This window comes from Homo sapiens, chromosome 4, assembly GCF_000001405.40.
Source record: "Homo sapiens chromosome 4, GRCh38.p14 Primary Assembly".
Taxonomy (NCBI): Eukaryota; Metazoa; Chordata; class Mammalia; order Primates; family Hominidae; genus Homo; species Homo sapiens.
Window position 1 is genome coordinate 170,738,051 of NC_000004.12, and position 8,104 is coordinate 170,746,154.

General features: G+C 35.8%; 1 long non-coding RNA gene across 1 annotated transcript, besides 1 other annotated feature; it reads right to left on the reverse strand.

The window, feature by feature from the left end:
* Positions 1-4,418: 4,418 nt before the first annotated feature.
* Positions 4,419-5,685, reverse strand: LINC02382 (long intergenic non-protein coding RNA 2382). Its single transcript, NR_134683.1, has 2 exons — positions 5,615-5,685; positions 4,419-4,978 (listed from the first exon to the last, which is right to left on the reverse strand). It is a non-coding gene; the product is annotated as a long intergenic non-protein coding RNA 2382 (long non-coding RNA).
* Positions 5,227-5,727: an enhancer, noted in NCBI's record as "H3K4me1 hESC enhancer chr4:171664428-171664928 (GRCh37/hg19 assembly coordinates)". NCBI's record gives its function as "activates a minimal SCP1, AML or CMV promoter by ChIP-STARR-seq in naive H9 embryonic stem cells {active_cell/tissue: H9 hESC(naive)}" and the evidence as "EXISTENCE:reporter gene assay evidence [ECO:0000049][PMID:30033119]".

Here is an 8,104-nt window from a genome sequence, read left to right on the forward strand (position 1 = left end):
TTACTTAAGCCTCAACAACATTAATAATACCTGTTTGGGGATAGATGTGAATAAAACATAAAAAAAATTACCTGTGTTTGTTATTCGTGTCCTGTGCTATCTCCATTACACATTTCTGAGTGTAAGTTGCTAGATATTTTCTGAGGTGAAATTAGACGACTTGTTGTGAGGGAGGAGTCGACAGACATATTTGGGCATATTATGAATTACTATCTAAAATAAACCCTTTACAATATTATTTTTATGTTCTAACAATATTATGTTATGTTTTTACAATATTATTTTTATGTTTTATTAGCTCAATTTTGGCTAATTTTAAGTAAACAAGGAATTCTATTAATCTTGACTATTAATATTGCATATATTTTTAGAATGACTTAGCATTTAACTGTACACTAATATATAGGCCCTTTTTATTATTTTAAAATAAGAAGATTCTGTTTGGGACATATTTGGGGATGGCTCTGATAAAAGATACATGCTACTTAAGTTATGTGCTGTAAGGACAAAGGCTATAGTTAATTTATTCTCCCATAGAAATTTAGTTTCTGAGTTCTCACATTTTAAAAAATCCAATAAGCATCTTGGGGTTAAGGACTGATGTTATTTCCGTGTACTTTGCCAAAGCCAAAAGCTGTCAACAAATATTTTTTGGTCCTTACTGACAGACTCTGTGTTATGTGCTGTGAGTCTGGAGATAAGGGAAGAAGCATTTTACCTCACTGAGCTCAGAGCATATTCAGGTTACTGAATAATTATGCACCACCTGGTAGGTCTTCTGATACAGCATGTGATGGAGGCACACAGGGAGGCCCCTCACCGAATAACCATGCTCAGACCAGGCTTTCTGAAGGATATAGTTTTAAACATGGGCAGATGTTCCAGCATTGGAGGGGAACAAAGATGCTATTTCAGGCAGTGGCAGCGTCGCAAAGTACAATAGGCAATGTTCAAGCATATAGGAAAAGAGAAATATTAAAAATTGCTTAGAAGGACTTGAGTATAGGCAATGTGTTCACATGACACAATGATAGCTAGAGTGACAACCAAACCTTGCTTCTTTTTATAAACCTTTTTGCAAAATCTGAAAGTAAAGAATCTTGCAAGAGGCTCAAAAGTAGCCATTGTAAGAGTTTATAGCATAACTTTAAAATTATTTATTACACATGAATTATTGGGTGATGTTTTGTAGAATAGTATCCTAAAACTTAGAGGGGTAATGAAACAATTTGCCATCCCAGCCACTCTGCTGGACATGTATTTAGAAAAATCATCTAGATTTGAGTCTATATTATGATATTTAATTTTTCAAGCCAAATTACTCAATAGAAGATATAAAGTTTATATATTTTTTCCTATTCTCAGCTTACTGCTCCTAATACAAATGAATAATCCCTTGCTATATTCAGGTGGTTTTTTGTAAATAATATTTAGCATATTCTGTCAGTTTGGGTAGATATATAATTTTTAAAATTAATTTTATTTATGGATATTGTTTGGTTGTGTCCCTGCCAAAATCTCATCTTGAATTTCAATCTGCTGTGGGAGGGACCCAGTGGGTGGTAACTGAATCATGGGGGCAGGTCTTTCCTGTGCTGTTCTTGTCATAGAGAATAAGTCTCACGAGATCTGATGGTTCTATAAGGGGGAGTTTCCCTACACAAGCTCTCTCTTTGCCTGCTGCCATCCATATAAGATGTGAATTGCTCCTCCTTGCCTTCTGCCATGATTGTGAGACTGCCTCAGCCATGTGGAACTGTAAGTCCATTAAACCTCTTCCTTTTGTAAATTGTCCAGTCTTAGGTATGTCTTTGTCAGCAGCATGAAAACAGACTAATACATTTATCAAGAGCTCTGAATAAACATTTCCAGGTTTCTGTTAATCTGTTATACAGTGATCAAGCATAGTCATATTCCCTATAGACAAAATGCTTTCATCTATTCTAATTAACAGTCTGAACCTCTAGCATTCCCTAAATGGAAACCTAGAAAGAAAATGGTTCCCTAAGGAATTACCATATGGCAAGGGCCATAAGGGCAACTCTACTTATAATTTTTTCAGCCTTAAGTTCCTCTGCCATTTCTTCCACAATAGTTTGTGTTTTTCTTTCTTTCTGAACATAGAAAATTCTTCAAAAATGTGCAGTCTCTATTCATTACCCCAGTCTTCATGTACAGTGAAAGGCATTCATGACTGACTTTCATGTAACAGCAAAGAACAGAAGGACATTTATTATCAACTTGTCAAAGAACATAGAGTTTTTCTTGTTTCAGGTGTTAATATTTTCTGTTACCAAGGCGTTCATCACTTAGACCTCTCATTCTCAGGTAAAGTAAACTTTGATGTACCTCATGAAGAACAAGGATTGTCTGTTAGAGAAAACCTTGCTAATTAAAGTAAATGCAGAGGGTTTAAAAACTTTTGTGCATAAGATTATATGAGAAAATTATCTATGCTTAAAAATTCCTGATAATTCCATGAAAAATTATGATTCTGTTGAACATGTATTTTGATACTATGCCCCTGACATGCTATGTATGCTTAGAATTATGTCAATGCCACATCACTTATTATTCCAAATGATTCTTGAAAATTGATGTGGAATAGCTATAATGACTGTGGTTTGAGTCATTTCCTGGGTATTAATGAAAGAGTAGTGTTAATGGCCCTCAACATTTTCACTTTTTGAGGTTATTTATTCCAGATAAGTGGTCTGTGGTAAAATCATTATTGATTAATTTGTATTTTTTCTTTAAGACTGCTCATGTTTTCAGAATAAAGTGGTGTGCTTTGGAACCACAGGGGCTTCTATTTTCTACTGAGCATCGGAAACAGTAATTTTTAAAGAAATTTTGTTCTGCTAAGTGTGACTGGAAGAAAGGGTCTACGTAGCATGGGAGATTTGATTTAGTTTTGTTCTGGGACACTCTTGTGTACTGTTTCTACAGAGGAAATGGCAGGATTTATTTATTTATGTATGTATGTATGTATGTATGTATTTATTTATTTATTTATTTATTTATTTATTTATTTTTACTTTTGAGATGGAGTCTCGCCCTGTCACCTAGGCTGGAGTGCAATGGCATGATCTCGGCTCGCTGCAACCTCTGCCTCCTGGGTTCAAGTGATTCTCTTGCCTCAGCCTCCCAAGTAGCTGGGACTACAGGTGCATGCCACCACGCCCAGCTAATTTTTGTGTTTTTAGTAGAGATGGGGTTTCACCATATTGGTTAGGCAGGTCTTGAACTCCTGACCTCGTGATATGCCCACCTCGGCCTCCCAAAGTGCTGGGATTACAGGCATGAGCCACTGTGCCCAGCGGCAGAATTTATTTTATGTTACATACTACAGTCACTTACCTGCTTCATTTTGCACAGACTTATGTATGCTACCACATTTAAAAGTTTAATTTGACCAATTGCACTGCATGTTAGGACTATGCTATAATTTTTCTATTATTGTGGAAACAAAAATAGTACTCATAAATTTCTCATCATTCAGTTTCTCTTGGAAACATACAAACAACTATGTTGAGTTTGCAACTTAAGTCAGATTATCCTAAGTTTTAAAAATTTTCTTTGAAATTTTGTTACAAAAGTCTTCCAACATTGGGAAATATAAAATAATATATATTTTTGTTTGTAAATCATAATTAACTTACATCACTTGAATTAAAAACAAATATAAAGAACACAATATTTGAAAACTTTACCCAATTACAATTAAGGAGCTGTGTTAGGAAGGTACCTGCCTTTGTATTTGATTACCTTTGCTCCATTCATAAGAATACTAATATTAATGTTATGCTTATCATCATCAGTTACCTATGAGCCACACACTGTGCTAGGCATGTTATATACAGCAATGCTGCAATGTGATTCTGATACTAACCACTCAGAGCTAGCGCAGACACTGTACAAGCACACAGTCCCCAGTAAGACTGCCTCGCTTTGGATGTCCACCACAAATTTGGGAGTCCCTGGGCCACGCATTCTCTGATTAATTGTCTACAAATTCAGGGATTCCCACATCTCTCTCAGGTCTGGTAATTCACTAAAATGACTCATAGAATTCAGGAAAATGCTCTACTAACAATTACTTTTTTTTTTTAAATAAAAGTTCAAATCAGGACTAGTCAAACGAAGACACACATAGGGAGGAGTCTGGGAGGGTTTCACATGTAGAGCTTCTGTACCCTTACATTGTAGAATCAGGTGCAGCACCCATTGGCATCCTTCTAGCACATTGATGTTTTCACCAACCAGGAAGAGCCACCGAACTTTGGTATCCAGAATTTTTATTGATGTTTCATTATGTAAGCATGATTGATTGTATCATTGGTCACAGGCTTTAATTTAATCTTCAGCTTGTCTCATCTTCCTGAAGGTGATCAGGGAGATATCACTTCGCTCAAATCCTCAATCCTCTCATTACAAAGTTGGTCTTTCTGGGGTGATCAGCTCTCATCCTGAGTCCTCTATTATCATAACCATTCATGCTTGACGGTCCCACCATGAATAACAAAGACACTACTATCACTTGAGAAATTCCAAAGACTTAGTTTAGTGGTCATCTACCAGGAATCAGGGGCAAAGATTAGACAAATTATTTATTATATAACATATACATTATATATGTTCTTTAATTATAGTGATCTTCAAGGTGTGCATTTTAATAAAGATTTTGTAGGCATAAAATTGAGCCTTAGAAGCACAAGTCCTAGGCATATAAATCACATCACCGGTAGTATTGAAGTCAGGATTCAAACCCAGATCTGCTTTATTTTAGTGTCCATTTATCCAGGATTTCATCTCTGTCCTTCTTGGTACCACAATTCAGTATCTTAGCTTGGTATTTTTCTACAACATAGGCTTAAAGAGATGAAACCTCTTGCCTAATATCATCCAGTGAAGAAGTGCTAGTGCTGAAATTCGAACCCACATTCCTCTTAGCACAGTGATGGTACTCATAGCTGCTCTATAAGGAAGAAAAAACAGCAGATCACAAAAGATGAAAATCCCATACAGCCCTGGAAGAACTTTTCCAGTAATAAAGGACATTTTGACATTACAGATATCATTCTCATTCTCACTAATGAGAAATGTCAGATATACATATTTTCCCATTTCCTGGAAACTGTAGTTAAAAAAAGAAACACTCTTAAAAGCTGTAAAATAATTGTTCTTAAAAACTTGTGGATTCCTAGACAAAAACTAAAAGAAAAAAAAATGCAGATTATGTGTCTCTTCATCCCAGTATTCTTCCCATTAACATCTATTCTGGTACCCAAAGGTGACAAAGAAGTCCTTATATCAGCCTCATATGCATAGTATATAGGTATTGTTCTTATTTCGGTGTATTGTTTTAAAGTGGCACAGTTCGCAACAGCGAATCCATACAGGTCTGCAGCAGCCTCAATCCTTGCCTCCTCAGTAGAAAGAATTTGAATGAGGGACATAAGGCAGAGTGAGAGACCAAGGCAAGCTTTAGAGCAGGAGTGAACATTTCATAAGAAAGCTTTGAAGCAGGAATGAAAGGAAGTAAAGTACACTCGGAAGAGGGGCAAATGGATAACTTGAGAGACTCTAGTGCATGGTTTGACCTTTGACTTACGGTTTTATATGTTGGCATGTTTCCGGGGTGTTGCATTCCTTCTCCCCTTTTTCTTCCCCACTGATTTTTCCTTGGGTTGGGCTGTCCGCACGTGCAGTGGCCTGCCAGCACTTGGGAGGGGCCACATGCACAGTGTGTTTACGGAAGTTGTGCGCATGCTCACTTGAGGCGTTTTTCCCTTATCAGTCGGATGTTTGCAGAGGAAGGTCAAATACTAGTTAAGCGCCATCATTTTGCCTTTTAGGGTGCCTGCTTGAACGCACTTACCCAACCTCTGAGATCTTATTCGGAAGCAGCTGTTTACCAGTTTCAGGTGTTTTTGTCTATTTGGAGACCGCCTTTCCCTCGCTCCAGCTGTGACCAATTAATATTTTAGACAGCCAGCTTAACAACTGTTTGGCCATCACCAGATATTCCTGGTGGTGGCCGAGGGCTCTCTCCTGCCCTGCTCATGTCTGACTAACTACCTCCTGTAACAGTACAGATCCTGATCTGGGAACGAAGTTGAGGAATTAATGGCAGAATTAAGGGTGAAATTTAGAAAAGTATAGGCCAATAAATTATTAAACCTGTATTTCCAGATATCTTACTGAGATTCACATATTCATGTATTTCTTGTTTGATGTCTTTTATTTCTTTTTTATTGCAAAGTAGCTGCAAATTTTCTTTTCTTTCTCCTTATTTCTTTTTACCTCGTATAAATAACTGCAAAAGGTCCTACTGCTAATCCACAATAGTCAGCTAAATACACACCTGCATACAGAAGAAAGATTTATACAATTGGCGCCCACATGATTCAATGCTGTACAAAGGTGTATTCAATGCAACACGGTTCAGCAAACAATAGCAATGAATATTTATTCAAAATTTTATCAACATCTGTGACACATTTTTCAAAGAGTAGGCCATGTGTTCCTAATACATTGAAGTATATTTTAAATCATTGTTTTTGCTCCAGTCACTATAAATAACCTTCATATGAACGGCAGATACTTCCTCAAACTTCTCTCTTTGCTTCTTTCCTCTCACTCCAGGAAATCCCAGTCATTTGGCCTTTGTTCTTTCTTCCTTTCCTTCTTATGTTGTTCATTTCTCTCTTTAATCCCCTGAAGGAAATCTGGGCCATTCTAAAGCAAATAATTTGTTTAGTTCTGTTCCTATCTATTGCTCAGATCTGCTTCCAAATACTAAGGAAAGGTTCTGGCAGAAAATACTGTATTTGCAGGTGAGTAAGAAGTCAGGTTTCTAAATTTTGTCTCAACCCACAGTGAATATTCAAACCCACACTTTAAAAATTTAGAAAGAAAAAAACAACAACTGTACATGTGAATAGAGTGCCTTAATGAAAGAAAAAAGTGTTTGTCTTTGTTTTGTTTTGCTTTTTGGAAAAGAGTATCACTCTGTTGCCCAGATTGGTCTTGAATTCCTGGACATAAGTGATCCTCCAGCCATGACCTCCCAAAGTGCTGAGGTGACAGGTATGAGCCACCATGCCCATCACTTTCCCAATTTTTAAAATAATGAATTGATTTAGATTAATTTTTCTCATTGATTCCTCTTGAGTATGAAGATAGCTTTATGAAAAATCTTGCCTCTCGTTAATCTATGATATTCTGATGTTTCTGGAAATTCTAGATTTTTCACAACAGAAAACAGAAGGATGGTCAAGGTAAGAGCACTCATGAAATTAGTCAAAATCATCCCTTTATAAAATTTAGTGAGATCTTTGAATGTTAACATTGCCTCCATCTGCATGTACAGTGTAATTATACCATTAACATACACAGTTTTATTCTAATGAGATCAGTGTTCTATAGAATTGATACAAAAAGGCAGTGAGTGAAAACAATGTCTTCCAGGATCCAGAAGGTACTCCAATTGAGAAACATTTAAAGGAGGCATAGAAAAACATGACATATTCTTGTGATAAAACCATGTGAAAAACATGCTTATGCTTTGTTACATTTTGTCAAATTAATCTTTTCATTTTACAATCAGATTTGGGAACTTCCCAACACTTTCAAGATATAAAAAGGCATAACAATTATTACCCTTTTTACATGCTGTACTCATTTGGCATTAATAACTGCAATTGTTTTATTTTATGCAGTCTTCCATACAAATTATCTCAATCCACTTTATCGCCTGAAATATTTTGAAGAAAAGATTTACTTAATAAAATAGCATACTACAGAATAAAAATAAGTTTGGAAAATATATTCACAGGCCTTTAATTATTTAATACATGTGTTTCATTGTTCAAGAAAACAATAAAATAAGGGAAACAAAAATTGGTAATTTTTGTGACATTAATCTCTTGACATAAGATAGTAAAATGACTTAATAATATGCTACGTTTTGTCACCCTGAACTTCTCTTTAAAATGAGAACACCCTATTATAAATTTATTTTTAAAATGCTACAAGAATTTTTGGGAAATTGTGTGACTACTCCTATTCAGTTTTAAACTGTCACAAAGCCAGACATAAA